General features: G+C 44.8%; 1 protein-coding gene and 1 long non-coding RNA gene across 17 annotated transcripts in view, besides 5 other annotated features; one reads left to right on the forward strand and one right to left on the reverse strand.

The window, feature by feature from the left end:
- Positions 171 to 315: an enhancer, noted in NCBI's record as "145 bp enhancer 196 fragment used in the MPRA reporter construct; PK_construct_4237". NCBI's record gives its function as "activates an SV40 promoter by MPRA in K562 cells {active_cell/tissue: K562}" and the evidence as "EXISTENCE:reporter gene assay evidence [ECO:0000049][PMID:23512712]".
- Positions 235 to 252: a transcriptional cis regulatory region, noted in NCBI's record as "GATA motif; enhancer activity is reduced when this motif is scrambled". NCBI's record gives its function as "necessary for full MPRA enhancer 196 activity {active_cell/tissue: K562}" and the evidence as "EXISTENCE:site-directed mutagenesis evidence [ECO:0005528][PMID:23512712]".
- HIPK1-AS1 (HIPK1 antisense RNA 1) lies at positions 9846 to 15370 on the reverse strand. 2 transcript variants are annotated; one of them, NR_110725.1, is made up of 5 exons: positions 14548 to 15103; positions 14089 to 14233; positions 12698 to 13667; positions 12473 to 12586; positions 9846 to 10177 (listed from the first exon to the last, which is right to left on the reverse strand). It is a non-coding gene; the product is annotated as an HIPK1 antisense RNA 1 (long non-coding RNA). The 2 variants fall into 2 exon arrangements; NR_110726.1 differs by lacking the exons at positions 12473 to 12586; positions 12698 to 13667; positions 14548 to 15103 and adding an exon at positions 15207 to 15370.
- Positions 15080 to 15399: an enhancer, noted in NCBI's record as "active region_1542". NCBI's record gives its function as "activates an Ori minimal core promoter by ATAC-STARR-seq in GM12878 lymphoblastoid cells {active_cell/tissue: GM12878}" and the evidence as "EXISTENCE:reporter gene assay evidence [ECO:0000049][PMID:35858748]".
- HIPK1 (homeodomain interacting protein kinase 1) overlaps positions 15169 to 18530 on the forward strand; it is a 48546-nt gene continuing 45184 nt past the window's right edge. For 10 of the 15 annotated variants that reach the window (NM_198268.3, XM_005270611.6, XM_005270610.6 and 7 more), the window contains exon 1: positions 15169 to 15377. The gene's annotated coding sequence lies outside the window, so the exon portion shown is untranslated. Of the gene's footprint in view, positions 15378 to 15688; positions 18068 to 18530 lie in introns of those variants that run through there. The other 5 variants (XM_047449134.1, NM_001369806.1, NM_001369807.1 and 2 more) reach the window with 2 other exon arrangements.
- Positions 15520 to 15569: a silencer, noted in NCBI's record as "silent region_1217". NCBI's record gives its function as "represses an Ori minimal core promoter by ATAC-STARR-seq in GM12878 lymphoblastoid cells {active_cell/tissue: GM12878}" and the evidence as "EXISTENCE:reporter gene assay evidence [ECO:0000049][PMID:35858748]".
- Positions 15590 to 15899: a silencer, noted in NCBI's record as "silent region_1218". NCBI's record gives its function as "represses an Ori minimal core promoter by ATAC-STARR-seq in GM12878 lymphoblastoid cells {active_cell/tissue: GM12878}" and the evidence as "EXISTENCE:reporter gene assay evidence [ECO:0000049][PMID:35858748]".

The raw sequence follows: 18530 nt of genomic DNA on the forward strand, positions 1-18530 counted from the left end.
ATTGTGCTGAATTGCCCTCCAGAAAGGTTTCCTGACCATCTTTTCTGCAGACAGGATAGCATTAAAATACCTTGAAGACTCATTAGTTTAAATGAGATCACAAGAACGGTACATGTTAACACATGGAAAATCATCTCATGTGTTAACTTAATAAATAGCTACTAAACTGTGTGGGCAAATTTAGCTGGACTTCCTCTAGCATCCTCTAGCTGTCTGACTTCTAGGCGGCCGAAGGTGGCTGGGAGAGATAAGGTAGTTCTCAGTACAGGGGTTCCCATATTGGCGTTATCTTCTAGCAACAAGGGAGCCCGTCTACTCTTGGCACATGCTGTGTCACACCTGTTCCTTCAAGTGGGTTCTATATGCATTCAGATAGGGGAGGGGAAGCAAAAGACTTTGAGGAATTTAGTTGTTGGTAGCATGTTTGCATTTGTTTGTTTGGCTTTTTTTTGGAGACAGGTTTTAGCTCTGTCACTCAGGCTGGAGTGCAGTGGCACAGCCATAACTCACTGCAGCCTCGACCTCCCAGGCTCAAGAGATTCTCCCACCTGAGCCTCTTGAGTACCTGGGACTATAGGCATGCACCACCATGCCCAACTAATTTTTTTTTTTTTTTTTTTTTGTAGAGATGAAGTTTCACTATGTTGCCCAGGCTGGTCTTGGTGTTGAACTCCTGGCCTCAAGTGATCCCCCCTACCTTGGCCTCCCAAAGTGCTGGGATTACAGGCATGAGCCCGTGTGCCCAGCCATGTTTGTGTTTTCATAATGGGAAAATTCCATACTATTCTAAAAGAAAAAATGTCTGCCTTCTTATACTAGAGATTAGCAGTTGTTTGATTTTCCAATAGTCCCTCATATAAAAATGCTGCATTGCATATACTTTACATAGCCAATTTAAATTATTTTTAGAATCTAAAGATGATCCTATAGATGTATGAAGATATTGCAATTAGGCTTGAAGGTGCTGGGAAAAAGGAGGTTCCCTAGAGATCCATTAGTTATTTAATGGATGATCTGTGGGAGAACTTGTACTTTTCCACAAGGTGACTGACAATGGCTTAAGTCCCCTTACAGAAAAAAAATCTGCCTGGCTGGTGTTGGGAGGCCATCTCTTACTCTTGACCCAGATTGCCCTTTGTGGTAGGAAACAGATGAGTGACTCCACTTGTTCTTCTCTTTTCTTTTTCTTTCTTCCTTTCTTTTTTTTTTTTTTTTTTTTTGAGGAGTCTCACTCTGTTGCCCAGGCTGGATGCAATGGCACTGTCTTGGCTCACCACAACCTCTGCCTCCTGGGTTCAATTCTCTTGCCTCAGCCTCCCAAGTAGCTGCGATTACAGGCGTGCACTGCCACACCTGGCTAATTTTTGTATTTTTAGTAGAGATGGGGTTTCACCATGTTGGCCAGGCTGGTCTCGAACTCCTGACCTCAGGTGATCCGCCCACCTAGGCCTCCCAAAGTGCAGGGATCACAGGTGTGAGCCACCGTGCCCAGCCCAGCCCATGTGCATATATTTTCGATGTTACCATCAGTGAGCACCTGTCAGTGTATTAGCTGCCTCCCACCCCTCATGCTCCTCAGCCACCACCAACCACCACAAGCTGTTTTGTCTTAGACTCATGGTGCTTTCCCTTTTCTCTTCCCCAGGGGATCCCACCTATACCTGAACAGAATGATGCTGCTCTCCCTTATAAACATCTGAGTCTAACAGCTGCCTGTGAGGGATTCTCAGAATGGTTAAGCTTGTCTTTATCTTGACCACAATGCCTACCCTTCATTTAGCTCTACCCTTCCATCTTGACTGTCTCATTCCTGGGTAACTTTGTCTTCTTTGAACATAGCCTTGACCTACTGGATCACAAAAAGCTCCCAGGATTCTGGGCTTGGTTCTTCTGGATAAATAGCTTATTGAATCATCTTTCAATCACACAAAATTTCTGGCTAGCCTTGGGTTCGCCTGTGTCTTACATTATTTACACTATTGTATTATGGCTATCTTACCAGTCCTGTCTCCTCTGGTTAATTTATAACAACTTTGGAGAGTGTGGGATGAAAAATTGGTCCCCTGTGCTACTCCATCCTCAATGTGCTCATTGAAATGTGTGTTTTTGAGGAGCGAAGGAAATTGGGTTAAGCTCACTCACCCTACTAATTAGGCTTTGTGGAGACAAAGCACCAGAGCAAGAGCAGATGCCTGCTGTTTAGGGAGTCAGGGATACAAAGTTTGGAGAAAACATGTCTTCAGGAGGAAAGGAAAGCTTTGATCAGCTGAATTTCTTCAAATTCCCACCCATCTTCCAGGCTCATACCATCTGCTTTCTAATTTCCCTCTCAATGGTGGGATAAAAATCCTTCAATCACCTCTTACTAAGAACATTTTCTCTGCTCATACACATTCAAGAACCCAAACTATTCAGAACATTTTAGGTCCACATGATACAAGGCCCAACCTATCCTTCCAGCCTTATCTCCCAGGATTCTCCCAGTGCACACAATAGTAGGCCATAGTGGAAAAGATGGATTTTCAAGTTAGATGTCTTGGGTTGGAATCGTGATCCTGTGACTTACTAGCTGTGTATATAATCTCTAGCAAGCTACTCAGCTTTCCAGCTTAAAGTTCCTTTTTGTAGAGTGGGAATAATAATGCCTACCTCATAGGGTTTGGAGGAGAATGAAATAGAATAAAGCAACTAAAGCACTTCATAAGAGTATCCAATACATTAAAAAAAAAAAAAAGAAAGAAAAGAAAAAGTTTTTGCCTTTGGCTGGGTGCAGTGGCTCATGCCTGTAATCCCAGCACTTTGGGAGGCCAAGGTGGGCAGATCACCTGAGGTCAGGAGTTCAAGACCAGCATGGCCAATATAGTGAAACCCCATCTCTACTAAAAATACAAAAGTTAGCCGGGAGTGGTGGCATGTGCCTGTCGTCCCAGCTACTTGGGAGGCTAAGGCAGGAGAATTGCTTGAACCAGGGAGGCAGGTTGCAGTGAGCCGAGATCACACCACTGCACTCCGGCATGGGCAACACAGCAAGACCCTATCGCAGAAAAAAAAAATGTTTGGCCTCAAACTCCCTGACATACCTTAAATCCTGTTTACAGAGGAGTGACTGACATGTCCAGTGCATGCCCTGGATAGTGCCATTGGCTAATCCTATCTTTCAGGCCCAGAAAAATCTGAGAGATTGGCTGATGAAGGTACTTCCTGGGGGAGAGGTTCCTGGAGTCAAGTCTAACCAAAAGGGCAGTTACCTGAAGCATCCAAGGATGCATTTGTACAGATGGAAAAAGAGTAGGGTGAAATCATGATAAGCTTCAGATGCTGTGCTGAGTAAATTTAACTGTAAAATCCTAAGGCAAAGCCAAAACACCTCAGAAGAATAAGTAGTTAATCAGAGGCTCAGAGAATCCAAAGAGGTGTGCAGAGCAGAGCAGTCTGGGCTGTGCATTTCAAAACATTGTGGGTAAACTAAGGGCCAGACACTATGCTTGGTCTGGTTCTAGATTCTTCTGCCACACCAGCTGTATAAACCAACAACCTTGGATCAGTCCTGGAATTCTCCTTTTCAACTCCTACAGAAGGAAGGCAGAGCCACTGGAGAAAAGAACCATACAACTGGTATCACTACAGATTTCAGCCTCTGGTATTTTCAAAGCTGCTTCTCATCTCTTTAAGTCCTTGATTCACCTCCTCTCCCATGTACATCAGTGGTTATGACAAAGCTTTATGACTCAAACTCTTACAACATATGAAGCCTTAGGAAGACACCTTTGAGCATCAAGGATACCAAGCTGCAACACCCTGGGGCAACTTCCCTGGACCATAAGAACAGGTCTGGTCACCCAGCCTCACCCTAAAGGTGGCAGAATGAATCCCCCATACCCTGTTTAAACCGCAGTCACTGTCAGGAGTTCAAGTCTTTAAGGCCGGATTCTCAGCCTTCCCTCCCCTCTTTCACTAGGCTCTCAAGTCTCCTGCTCTGTGATCAGCAAATTCCTCTATGTCCTCAGCATCTTTTCTGAAAGTATCCATCACCCTCCTTGCCTAAATTGAAGACTGGCTCTCCTCTGAGCACACTGCTTTCCAGCCAGCTTCTCACATAGAGGCTCTTTTTCTCTCCCCCCACCTCAAGGTAAGAAGGTGACATTGATGTTCTCCTTATTCTCCTTGCTGCCTCCTAACCATTATTGCCATTTCTTCCTGTGACCATCTCTCCTACCATGAAGTGCATACTATCTAGCTATACCATCCCCTCCTTCCCATCCTCACTTATCAAGACTTGAGTCATTGACTCACAGCCTTCTCCTCCTTCACAACCCTGTCATCATTCTGGATGATTTCAATACCCTGGCCATTCAGCTTCCTTGACCTCATCTTCAAAGACCTTATTCTCCCTCTACCTCACCACCCTGTCATTACCAGAAATTGTACTACATCTGAAGCCTCAATTTTAAACTTTTTCTCCTGGCTTATTTGCTCAAGTGCATCTGTGGGACTGACAACAAAATGAGACCTGAGTGATGAGCCAGCCAGGTGAAGACCTGGTGGGGAGGTCTAATTTAAAAATTGTTTTTGTAGAGACGAGGTCTCACTGTGTTGCCGAGAGTAGGGAATAGGTAGAGGGTTCAGGCAGAATCAGCCCCTGGGATAGGATGGGAATGAGCTTTGTGCCTAAGGAACATGAAGAAGTGAGTGTAGAGAAATGCAAATCAAAACCACAATGTGGTACCATCTCACACCTGTCAGAATGGCTATTATTAAGAAGTCAAAATGGTCAGGTGCAGTGGCTCACACCTGTGATCCCAGCACTTTGGGAGCCCAAGGCAGAAGGATCACGAGGTTAGGAGTTCGAGACCAGCCTGGCCAAAATAGTGAAACCCTGTCTCTACTAAAAATACAAAAAATAGCCAGGCATGGCGGCGGGCACCTGTAGTCCCAGCTACTCGGGAGGGTGAGGCAGGAGAATTGCTTGAATCCGGGAGGCAGAGGTTGCAGTGAGCTGAGATCGGGCCACACTGCACTCCAGCCTGGACAACAGAGCAAGACTCCGTCTCAAAAAAAAAAAAAAGTCAAAAAACAACAGACGCTGGTGAGGCTGCAGAGAAAAGGGAACGCTTATACACTGTTGGTGGGAATGTAAATTAGTTCATCCACTGTGGAAAAGAGAACTACTATTTGACCCAGCAATCCCATTCTGGGCATATATTCAAAGGAAAATAAATCATCCTACTAAAAACACACCTGCACTCATCTGTCCATCCCAGCACTATTCACAATAGCAAAGACATGGAAGCAACCTAGGTGCCCATCAACAGTGGATTGGTTAATGGTAACTTGTGATGTGTAAAATAAAAAAATAAAATAACCCAGTGGATTGGATAAAGAATATGTGGTACATATATGCCAGGGAATACTATGCAGCCACACAAAGAAAGAAATCATGTCCTTTGCAGCAACAATGATGCAGCTGGAGGCCATTATCCTAAGCAAATTAACACGGCAACAGAAAATCAAATACTGCATGCTTTTATTTGTAAGTGGAAGCTAGACATTGGGTGGTCACAGACAGAAAGATAGCAATAAGAGCCACTGGGGACAACTGGGTGGGGGACAAGGGTTGAAAAACTATTAGGTACTATGCTTACTACCTGGGTGATGGGAATCAATCATACCCAAAACCTCAGTATTATGCAATATACCTATGAAACAAACCTGTTATGTGTACCTCCTGAATCTAAAATTAAAAGTTGAAATATATATATTTCTCACACACACACACACACACACACACACACACACACACACACGGGCCAGGCACGGTGGCTCATGCTTGTAATCCCAGCACTTTGGAAGCCAAGGTGGGCAGATCACCTGAGGTCAGGAGTTCGAGACCAGCCTGGTCAACGTGATGAAACCCTGTCTCTACTAAAAGTACAAGAAATTAGCTGGGCGTGGTGGTGCGTGCCTGTCATCCCAGCTACTTGGGAGGCTGAGGCAGGAGAATTGAACCTAGGAGGTGGAGGTTTCAGTGAGCCGAGCTTGTGCCACTGCACTCCAGCCTGGGTGACAGAGAGAGACTCTGTCTCCAAAAATAAAAATAAAGAAAAAAAGAAATATATACACATAAACAAAGAAGTGTGTGTCAGAAGGAGAAGAAGAGGAGATGAGGTCACAGAGAGGGAGGCAGGTGTTGGATCAGAAGTGACTTAATAGTTTAAAGTAAGAAGTTTAAATTTGATTGTAAGTGTATTTATAAGCTATTGGAGTGCTTTAAATTAGGGGAGTGATATGATCTGTTAAATATTTTTGAAAACAACAGAGAATGGGGCAAAAATGAAAACAGGATACCATTTAGGATGCTCTTACAGCAATAAGAGATATTGGTGAGCTGAGCTGGGGAAAGGTGATTTACATTCTATTTGATTTTTTTTTTTTAAGTAGAGATGTGGTCTCACTATGTTGCCCAGGCTGGTCTTGAACTCCTGGCCTCATGATCCTCTCGCCTGGGCCTCCCAAAGTCCTGGGATTACAGGCATGAGTCACCACACCTGGCCGGATTTACACTGTGTCTAGACAGGAATCTTTTAGAGTACCTTTTTATTACAAGCAGCTACAGCGAAAAAGAATATCTTTTCCTCCACCAAAGCTTTCACAAAGAAAAAGCGCATCTGTAACCATATGTATACACACAAATAGTATATAAATACACATATTTGTGGGGAATGAGAAAACAGGAAGAAATGAGTAAGCCAGTTTATAAGTAAATAATTGGAATATTTTATGAATTTAACATTATTTCCTATAATAGGCATGTTTTATAACTATCTTCTTAAAAGAAATAGCATGTTTTACTTGCTTTGGAGTCAACACAAGTCTTAGGGTTAGAGTTTACATTTCCTGAGACACTAAGAATCTTCAATAAAAAAACTTCATTAATCAGAGAGTATTTACTTTTTATTTATTTATATTTATTTATTTATTTTTTGAGACGGAGTCTCTCTCACTCTGTCGCCCAGGCTGGAGTACAGTGGCATGACCTCAGCTCACTGCAACATCTGCCTCTCACGTTCAAGTGATTCTCCTGCCTTAGCCTCCCGAGCAGCTGGGACTACAGGCATGAACCACCATGCTCAGCAAATTTTTGTATTTTTAGTAGACATGGGGTTTCACCACGTTGGCCAGGGTGGTCTCAAACTCCTGAACTTAAGTGATCCGCCTGCCTCAGCCTCCCAAAGTGCTGGGATTACAGGCGTGAACCACCGCACCCAATGCTTTTTAATTTTAATTTTTATTTATTATTATTATTTTTTGAGATGGAGTTTCACTCTTATTGCCCAGGCTGGAGAGCAATGGCACGATCTCAGCTCACCGCAACCTCCGTCTCCTGGGTCAAGCGATTCTCCTGCCTCAGCCTCCCGAGCAGCTGGGATTACAGGCATGCGCCACCATGCCTGGCTAATTTTGTATTTTTAGTAGAGACGGGGTTTCTCCACGTTGGTCAGGCTGGTCTCGAACTCCCGACCTCAAGTGATCTGCCTGCCTCGGCTTCCCAAAGTGCTGGGATTATAGGTGTGAGCAATCGCGCCCCGCCCTTACGTTTTATTTTTAAATTATTAAGATTATTATAGGGCCGGGCATGGTGGCTCATGCCTGTAACCCCAGCACTTTGGGAGGCTGAGGCAAGTGAATCATGAGGTCAGGAGTTCAAGACCAGCTTGGCCAAGATGGTGAAACCCCGTCTCTACTAAACATACAAAAATTAGCCGGGCTACTCGGAAGCTACTCAGAAGCTACTCGGAAGCTACTCAGGAGGCTGAGGCAGGAGAATCGCTTGAACCCGGGGGGTGGAGATTGTGGTGAGCCGAGATCATGCCACTGCACTCCAGCCTGGGCAACAGAGTGAGACTCTGTCTCAAAAAAAAAAAGACCTCAGGCCTCCCAAAGTGCTGGGATTACAGGCTTGAGCCACCGCGCCCAGCCAGGGTATCTTTTGGAAGTAACACTGAAGACATTTTCTGATGGATGGAATGAGGGAGGTAAGGAAAAGGTATTATCATCTTCATTTTCAGTATGAGGAAAGTGATTCTCGTTAAGATGCCCACCATCATACCCTAATCCCTACCAGAGTCAGGATTCCTATGGATGTCAGGCTCTGAAGCTCCTATTTTTCTATACTGGATATCCTAGGAGCAGTGAGGTTGGTCAGGTAAAAGCCTATTTCACATCAGCGAATTTACCCTCTAGGGTTTGCATAGAGCACATTCCCCTATCCTACCCTGAGTGAAAAGAACCACCTGTTGACTGCTTACAGGTTTCATCAAAGTGAGTTTACAAAAGTAATAATAAAAAAATTAAATTCACAGTCAATGACGATAATTGTTATTTTGAGGTTTCTTCTTTTTTAAATAGAGATGAGGTCTTGTTATGATGCTCAGGCTGGTCTTCAACTCCTGTCTTCAAGCAATCCTCCTACCTCGGCCTCCCAGTCCTGAAGTTCTGGAATTACAGGCGTGAACAATATGAAGTCTCCTTCCCTCCCTGACATCCTTCCTCCCTCCCTTCTTCTCTCTCTCTCTCTTTTTTTTTTTGTTTGTTTTGAGACAGGATCTGGCTCTGTCACTCAGGCTGGAGTACAGTGGCACAAGTCTCAGTCTCTTGTGCTGAAGCAATCCTCCAACCTCAGCCTCCCTCTCAAGTAGCTGGGACCGCAGGTGCACACCACCACACCTGGCTAATTTTTAATTTTTTCTTGTAAAGATGAGGTCTCACTATGTTGCCCACACTGGTCCTTCAGCTCCTGGACTCAAGCGATCCTCCTGCCTCAGCCTCCGAAAATGCTGGGATTACAAGTAGGAGCCATTGTACCCAGTCCTTTTGAAGTTTCTTAACCCCTATTCTATAGTTAACTGATCCTGATGCTTTGAGCACTGCGAATAAGCGCTCAGTAATTTACTCATGAAAACAGTTATAGCACCAACCATGTGTAAGGAATTGTGCTGGGCAGGGGACACTTCATTGGGGCTTTTTGATTTCTGAGTTTGTGGGAAGTACAAAATGACTTAGCACAAATAATATTCAATTATTAAATTTCAAGTTCCTGTTCTGCTCCATTGCCCTTTTCATGTGGGTCTCTGTGTGCCTTCCCAAACCATTTATTTTGGTTTTAGATATTGCTTGAAATTGATGATAGGGAAAGACATATGGAATGCAGATGCTAAATTCTGTGTAACAGTTGGTCAAAGAAAAGGTGAGAATCTTAGAGTGGGGAGGATGATTTTTTAAAAAAAGAAAAGGTTAGAAACTACATAACAGAGGAAGCATAATAATGAGAAATGCTGACCCAAGGAAAGGGAGAAAAAGCACTATTCCTTGCTTTTGCTACATAAACAGTTGGTATATGAGAAAAGTGAGAAAGAGTAAGATCATTATGTGTAGAAAAGGGTGACATTAGAAATGATTATGGAGGAAGGAGGGTCTGAGGAGTCATAAACATGGGTTATATAAGGAGTCAAGGCATTTGTTCTTTCCCCACAATAGTCTCTGGGTTGACCCTTGAAAATTAAGGGTAATTGTGCCTTGTCTCTAAATCCTGAAAACCTCCCTCCCTGCCACCCCACTTTTTTTTTTTTTTTGAGACAGGGTCTTGCTTTGTTGCCCAGGCTGGAGTGTAGTGACAAGATCATAGCTCACTGCAGCCTCAACTTCTAGTGGTCAAGCAATCCTCCCACCTTACCCTCCTGAATAGCTGGGACTACAGGTGTGTGCCACCACGCCTGGCTAATTAAAAAAAGAAAGGTTTATCCTCCAAGACATCTGAATAAAATTGTTATAGAGACGATGACTCACTATGTTGCTTCCTTTTTTTTATTTAGGTAAAATCGACATATTACTAAACATTTTAAAGTGGACAGTTAGTGCATTTAGTGCATTCACAATGCTGTGCAGCCATCAGCATGCTCTAGTTTCACCTCCCCTTTCATTTATTAGGAAAGCTTGTATTCAAATCTTCTTTAATCCCATAATATGCCCATTCATCCAAACTCCTGTTCCATTATTCCATCATTTCTGCTAGGACCCAGTCCCCAAAATGTCCATTATTCTAACCCCTGTCACTCTCATGCTAGATATTGTCCTTCATGAAACCAGATGAGGGGCCAGAACAACTTTTCCTGGTTTATACCTGTGAGAAGAGAAGTGATAGAGAATGTAGTCAAAATGATTCATTTCATAACTTCTCAGATGTAGCTGATGTGGACCCAAGCAGATTCCTTGGATATTGAGAGCTGAATATGGGTATTGACCAGAATAGATTCTACCATTCAGCTGGACCAGGCCATTCTTCCCAGATTGTCAGTCACCACTCATACTATGAGTAATCCTATATAGGAACCACACAGCTTCTGCCCAAACTATGCCACTAAAACCGCTCTCTCGAAGATCAAATACTATCTCTCTCTCTCTCTCTCTCTCTCTCTCTCCCTCTCTCAGAGATGGGAGTAGTGGCTCTCACCAATATCAGTAATATCTATCTATCTATCTATCTATCTATCTATCTATCTATCTATCTATCCATCCATCCATCCATCCATGTATCTAATCTATCTACCTTAGAGATGGGGGTCTCAATATGTTGCCCAGGCTGGATTTGAACTCCTGGGCTCAAGCAATCCTCCTGCCTCAGCCTCCTGAGAAGCTGGGACTATAAGCACATGCCATCATGGACCAGCTAGCAGTGACCTTTCCATAAGCCCCTGAGGTATGGGGATTGTTTGCTACACAAGTTAGCTAAACCTAACTATTCATTTGAATAGGCAACGGACAGTGTCTGCCAAATTTCCCTATGCAAGCTTTCTCTGCTAAGGATACTCAAAAGGAGTCTTAAGAGAAAAATCTTGGTAATACCTAAGGCTTGCAACCTGAGGAAAGGGATGAGCAGGGAGGCTGAAGGGCTGATATTCACATACAAGCATTCAGTAATAAATCACTGTGGGCCTAATGCTCAGATCTTTTTTTTTTGGTCGGGGGGACAGAGTCTTGCTCTGTTGCCCAGGCTGGAGTGCAGTGGCATGATCTTGGCTCACTGAAACCTCCGCCTCCCGGGTTCAAGCAATTCTCTGCCTCAGCCTCCCAAGTAGCTGGGATTACAGGCACCTGCCACCGCGCCTGGCTAATTTTTGTATTTTTAGTAGAGATGGGGTTTCACCATCTTGGCCAGGCTGGTCTTGAGCTCCTGACCTTGCAATCTACCCACCTTGGCCTCCCAAAGTGCTGGGATTACAGGCGTGAGCCACCACGCCCAGCCATGAAGAACATTTTATTACCCCTTACCAGAAAAAGTCCTGTATTCTTCAAAAATATTAAAGACAAAGAAAAGCTGAGGAACTGTGCCAGATTAAAGAACACTAAAGAGACATGACAATTAAATGTAATATATGATCCTAAACTGGATCTTGTGCTGGAAAATAAAAAAAATGCTAAGAATGATGTTATTTGATCAACTGACAACATTTGGAACATGGATGGTAAAGTATTACAGCAATGTTAAATTTCCTGGAGTTGTTAATTGTATGTATTTTGTTTACATAAGAGAATGTACTTATTAGGATATTCAAGTATTATGTGGTAAAGGAGGATGATGCATGCGATTTACTTTTAACTGCTTGGAAAAAAAAATATGTACGTGGGCTGGGCACGGTGGCTCACACCTATAATCTTAGCACTTTGGGAGGCTGAGGTGGGTGGATTGCCTGAGTTCAGGAGTTCAAGACCAGCCTGGGTAACACGGTGAAACCCCGTCTCTACTAAAATACAAAAAAATTAGTCAGGTGTGACAGCGGGCACCTGTAATCCCAGCTACTCGGGAGGCTGAGACAGGAGAATCGCTTAAACCCAGGAGGTGGAGGTTGCAGTGAGCCGAGATCATGCCACTGCACTCCAGCCTAGGTGACAGAGTGAGACTCTGTCTAAAAAAAAAAAAAAAAAAAAAAAAAAAAAAGGCATGTATGTGTGTAATATAACTCTATCTATCTATAACTGCAAATGATAAAGCAAAAGGGGCAAGATGTTAATAATCTGGGTCCTCTTTTTGTCACTCTTGCAACATATCTGTATGTTTAACATTATTTCCAAATAAAAAGTATTCTGGGGTCTGGATTTTTAAAAAATCATTGAGGTTCTCCTCCTGTTGGCTCAAGGGACTTTTCTGCTTTTTATCGTTTACTGCAGACCTTCACTCTAATCTGGTTTTCCCAGTTTCACAACCTGTTGGCTTCTATTTAAATTCTCTTTTTTTTCCTAGCCCCTAGGATTCACTATTTGTTTGAATAGTTTGCCTAGCTTTTTGGTTCAGCTTCTCTCAAGACACAGCCTTCTCATCAGCTTCTCCTATTTGGCCTTAAGCACTGCCGCTCTTGGGCAAATGACTTCTTGCCTGCAACACTGAATCTAGGCTGTAGGCCCTAGAAGGATGTCATACCCTGAATGAAACTTGAATGCTTCCGATTGCTAACTGCTCCACCTCCCTCTCCAGTTGCTCTGACTTGGTTTAGGAGGATGTATTTCACATATCTGCCCCTTCTCGCCTTCTTTCCTGTGTAATCAAACCCTCATCATAGTTTTCTGATTAGGATCCCTTTCTCCAGTCTTTACCCACTCCAGCTAGCCCTCTTCCTTCACCATCACTAGTTCTCTCTCACATTACCTGTCTGAATAAACTTCTTTTTTGAGACAGAGTCTGGCTCTGTTTGCCCAGCCTAGACTGCAGTGGCACGATCTCGGCTCACTGCAACCTCTGCCTCCCGGATTCAAGCGATTCTCCTGCCTCAGCCTCCCGAGTAGCTGGGATTACAAGCATATGCCACCATATCTGGCTAATTTTTGTATTTGTAGTAGAGATGGGGTTTCACTGTGTTGGCCAGGCTGGTCTTGAACTCCTGACCTCCAGTGATCTGCCACCTTGGCTTCCCAAAGTGCTGGGATTACAGGCATGAGCCACTGTGCCTGGCTACCTGTGCGAATAAACTTCTAACAGCTCTACATTGCCTTTCAAAATCTGACTCAATTTACCTTACTACTTCCAAATCGTGCAACTTCTCTGCTTAACTGTAAGCTCCTTCAGGGCACAGACCATGCCTTTTCTTCTGTGTATCCTTAATTTCTTTTTTTTTTATTTCTTTCTTTCTTTCTTTTTTTTTTTTTTGAGACAGAGTCTCACTGTCGCCCAGGCTGGAGTGCAATGGTGCAATCTCGGCTCATGGTAGCCTTCTTCTCCTGGGTTCCAGCGGTTCTTCTGCTTAAGCCTCCAGGGTAGCTGGGATTACAGGCATGCGCCACTACACTTGGCTAATGTTTGTATTTTTAGTAGAGACGGGGTTTCACCATGTTGGCCAGGCTGGTCTCGAACTCCTGACCTCAGGTGATTCACCTGCCTCAGCCTCCCGAAGTGCTGGGATTACAGGCATGAGCCACCACACCCAGCCCCTTAATTTCTTATATAGTGCCTAGCACACAGAAGATGCTCTATAAATAGTTACTGAATGGACAAATGACTAAACTTTGAAACTTCTTTGACCTTACTATGCTCAAATATCACTTCTGATGTTCTTCTCCGACTCTCTCACTTATCTTATATATGTCTGCACACGTTTTTTCCTCATTAGACTGTAAGGTCCCTGAGGGAAAAGACCATGCTTTATTCACCTGTCTCATTCATACCTGACCCAGTGTCTAGAAGAGTGTATAGCACAGAGCAGGCACACAAGCAGTTTGCTGGATGAATGAGTGAATGATACTAAAGAGGAGAAAATACAGACTTTAAGAAGCTCTCCGTATAGTGAGAAAGACTGAGGACCTAAGAGCAATGAAAATAGAAGTTAACAAGTATAAATAAAGAAGGTACAGGTTAATTTAAGTAATCAGATGATGATGCAGAATTCAAATAAAATAGGAGTCAATCAGCAAAGGTTCCCGAAAGGGTGAATTCTGAGAGATATTTGAAAAGAGGAAAGGGACATAACTTGAGAGAGCAGGAGTTTAGGAACATGTCAGAGAGTTAGGTTGAACCAAGGCATGATAAACATGTTTGAAGCTTACATTCTGAGCAGGATCTGTTCTACCCAGACCACAGGTTTCTGCCTTTTTTTCTGGCTCATCAAGCAGGCATGTTTACCCACTCTTTTTATCTTCATGTTTCCCAGGTCAGCCCAATGTGAGGACTTTAAGTAGTAGAAGGAAGTTTCTGTGAAAATATGCAAACAAAACTGCCTTGTGGGATCGAACATTTTTGGTAACCCTAGTTCTCTAGGGAAATAAACTTCCCTGTTCCAGATAAAATGGAACTGCTCCCCGTGTTGTTAAGCCAGAGAGAAAGCCAAATGACTTCCCTTAAAAGGTACTTCAGCGCATTTTACACAAATCATAGTTTTCTGTGTGTGTTATGGGGATCCAAGGAAATCAAAGATGTTAATGAGTGAGATTTGAGAAACAAAACTTGATAGTAGAATTTTGTCTTAGCCACAACTGCCCTTCTCCTCACAGAGTATATGCAAATACCGATGGTGACGGACAGTCACTTTCTAGAGCTCAGATCACTGCTGCCTCCAGCACTTGTGGGATGGAAAAAATGAAGAAATTACAGTTGCCCTAAAAATGTCCCCCACTTCAGGAACCTGAATATTTTACACAGCAGGAGATACATCGGAAGTCCTACAGAATCTCTTGACTTTGGGAGATGCAACTGCTTTTCTATTAGGATAACCTAATTTTCTGTGTCCATTTTCTCAGAATGTTGTGCCCAACGCGTTCTGTTTCCTAAATACCCAGCCTTCCTTCTGGTAGAGGCAAGAAAATTATGCTAGCATTCGCTCACTGCATGTTTTGAGCGTTTGAGTTCAGAGTACAGCTATTCTCTCTCCTCGTAATGTAAACACAGGTTCCCACGGCGGCAATGGGAGACTCCCCTAAGGGGCTCTTGACGTACAGGGAGACTTCCAGATATGGTACACAGATGTCACATTGCTAGAACGTCTCTAGACGGCAACGAAACATTAAAGCCTAACCTGAGGTAATCCCTCACCGGCAGTGAAGCTCCTCTGCTAGGCACTGTCGTCCCGTACACTGCCCAAGCTCTGGGGGTGTCACACTAAACTGTGGTGATGTCACACTAGCTGGGATGACATTTTACAGTTGGATCCCGTACCACCGCCAGGCACCTTTAAATCACCGCAGAGTCTGCAGTGCGGAGGGGGCGGGAAGTCCAGGCCCCGCACTCGATCCACGCTGGCTCCCTACGGAGGCCCACCTACTCGAGGCCCACCGACTCCTACTGCAATCAGTACTATGCGATCGTCCTAGAGAGTCCATTCAGCTGCACTTCCGCCTCAGTAGGTGTCATGGCGCGGGGCGGGTGAATAGTTCCGGCGAGGCGGGGCCGGCCGGGTTGAGGGACGGCCGCTCGGCATTCCGTTCGTCGGGTCTGGCGACAACGGCGGCTGCGGAGCAAGGGGCCCGGCGGTAGCCCCGGACGGCAGCAGGAGGCCGAGGCGGGAGCGCGCGGGGCTGAGGCGGCGGCGGCGGCGGCGGGAAGGGGCTGGGTGGTGGAGCGGGAGGGAGGCTGAGGAGGCTCCCCCTGCGGGACGGGCGCGGGGACGGCTCCGGGGGGCGGGGGCCGGGGCCCGGGCCGGCTCGCGCGGGGGGTATGATGACCCGGCTGCGGGGCCCCAGATCTCGTCTCCTCCGCCGCCTCCTCACGGCAGCCCCAGCTCGCGGCTGAGAACCAGACACACCGGCGGTGAGTGGGGACGGGCAGGAGGGGTCCTCGGCGGGGAGCGACTTCCCCTCAGCTCCCTGAGGCGGGGCCGGGCCGGCCGCCGGCTCTCCTGGAGCGCCCAGCCTGCCGGGGGCGCCTTCCTCAAAGGGCCCCTGCCTGGGACCGGGCGCCGCGTCTTGCGGCCCGGCCGCTCACTGCCGCTGAGGGGATTGCCTTCCCAGGAAGGTGGGGAGGCTCCGGGCTGGTTTTCGGGGCAACTCCCCCTGCCTCCTGCCACTTCTCGCCTGGGCGTGTTGTCCTTAAGTGACAGGGGACCGCCTTGCGTCTCCTCACTCGGCCGGTTTTTTCCCCGGCTGTCGTGGCAGGTTCCCAGTGTGTGGCTTGTGCGTGTGTACTTCACAGCTCCGCTTATCACCATGGTTTTGGGTTATTTGTGCTGTTTGGGACCAGGAAGCCGTGCCTGGAGAGGACGACAGTGGGGTGGGTGTGGAAGCTTTTCTGTCGTCTCCGCTGATGTTCTGTAGTCGTTAGGCTTGTAATTCGTAATGACGGTGGAGACTACGTGAGACCAGCCCACCTAATGTATATCTGTACAAGGGAGATCTAGAGGTCTGGCCCAAAGGGAAACTTTTGCTGCCACCACTTTCAAAGCTTTCGTTAAAAAAACAAAAGGGAGGGGGAAGGTGGAGAAACAACCAAAATTCTGGTAAGGCCCACACTGTTCACAGGTCTGTGGGGAAGAGTCCCCTTTTTGTGCTTAGCAACCAAGACGTGGAGTTCCGTCTCCAGGAGCGTTGGTCTAACCTCCAGTTTGTTGTGGTGACGAGCTGTGAGCAATGGCCTGTGTTTATGCTGGGCGAGCTTTCTTTCCTACTTGGGGAGGGGGGTTCAGGATGGGAGGATGCGGGTAGGGAAGAGGGGGGGAAAACCCCCAAGCTCCAGTAAGTCTTTTCTTTACTTAATCACTGATTCTGTTGTAGGTAGACTCATTTAGAGGCAGTCCTAGATGCTCTTTCTTGTCTATTAGTGACACTTTGGGAATTCTCAGTAATTGCATCAACATAATACTTTCAGCTATAGACTCTCTGTCCCAATCTGTCCTTTATCTTGTTTCTTAGTAACTGGTGAAAACAGCAGTGTGGCTTCCCGCTCTTGATGAAATAGGGTTAAATTAAGTGGCTGATGCCCTCAGCAAACCTACAATTTTCCTTTTGTTTGTGTAAAGCTATTTTTGATCTCTGGTCTGTGGGTTTTTTTTTTTTTTTTGTAAGATTATAGAGAATGCAAACTATTACTAGCTTTTTTCATATGGAAGCCTAAAGCTTTCTATAAAACATTTTAAAATCTAACAAATCATTTGACCTAATTTTCATTATTCAGCTGGTGATTTTGGATCTTTACATGTAATTATCTCAGGGTTCTGTGTTATAATACTGTTATGATGAAGGGTGGCATTGACTTTAAGATACTGTTCCTGGCTTGAAAGATATTTTAGTAAAGTACTTGCGGTTGGAACTGGAGGCAGCCAAGCCAGTAAAGTATCTTAGAATAAAATGGTGAATGAGATCTTATAAATATACTGGCTCTGGTTGGCAAGTAGAACTTTTGCTGGTGATACCTTCATGAATAGTTTATCTCTCGACACTGTAGTTTTGTGGTTTTTTGAGCAAGTTCGTTGGTAACTTGAGACTTCAAACCAAACCAGAACTTCCTTCTAAAAGAAAAAAAAAGAAGAGATAATCTCAAAGTTCACAATTCTTTGGAAAATAAACTTCTTTCATTCTGTGCTTTTGTTTTTATAAGCACAGCTCCATCAATGATTTGTTGGTACAAATCAGTGAGTCATACCGGCCTTGTAAAGTTCTTACACTTGGAACTTGTGCAGCTTGTTAGTTATATATTGTAACTGGTCTTGTAATTTGAAGTAATTTTGCAAACATGAGCTGCTTGATCTGCCACCTGCATGAGTGTATAACAGCAGTCTGTATTTTTTAGGTCTTTTTAAAAAAAATTTACTATTATTCCTCCCGTTATCTTCCCTTCCTCTCCCTTTGTGCCATTCTGAACACAAGTCATCAAGATTATTTTCCTTTAAGTACCACTTCAACAATCACTGGTTTGTCTTTTGGTTCCTTTTGTTTTTGTTCCTGATCTTCCCTTTAGTTGTTGGAACCCAGCTCCTAAATGCCTAATATATTCCTGTAGTGCATAATTTGGCACTTGAAAAATTTACATCCTGTTTTCATATTTTTCTTTCTTTTTCATGTGTTATATCATTTCAGCAACATTTTAAGTTTTTTGAAGGTAAGGAAACTTACATTTCTTTTAGATTCTTTAAGGGTACCTGGTACAGTGCTTTCCCAGAGTGCTTAAGGAAAAAGAATGAGAAGACCTTTGCCAGCATTGCTACTCATTAGCGCTGGGTAAAACTCGTTTGGCCTTTTTGGATCTGTTTTTTTTTTTTTTTTTTTTTATTTGAGACAAGATCTCGCCCTGTCGCCCAGGTCGGAGTGCCGTGGTGGGTTCAGGCTGGAGTGCAGTGGTGGGTTCAAGTGATTCTCATACCTCTGCCTCCTAAGTAGCTAGGACTACAGGCACTACAGGCACGCACCACCATGCCTGGCTAATATTTGTATTTTTAGTAGAGATAGGGTTTTGCCATGTTGGCCAGGCTGGTCTCAGACTCCTGACCTCAAGTGATCCACCTGCCTCGGCCTCCCAAAGTGCTGAGATTACAGGCGTGAGCCACCATGCCTGGCCTGGATCG

This window comes from Homo sapiens, chromosome 1 (assembly GCF_000001405.40).
Source record: "Homo sapiens chromosome 1, GRCh38.p14 Primary Assembly".
NCBI classification, from domain to species: Eukaryota; Metazoa; Chordata; class Mammalia; order Primates; family Hominidae; genus Homo; species Homo sapiens.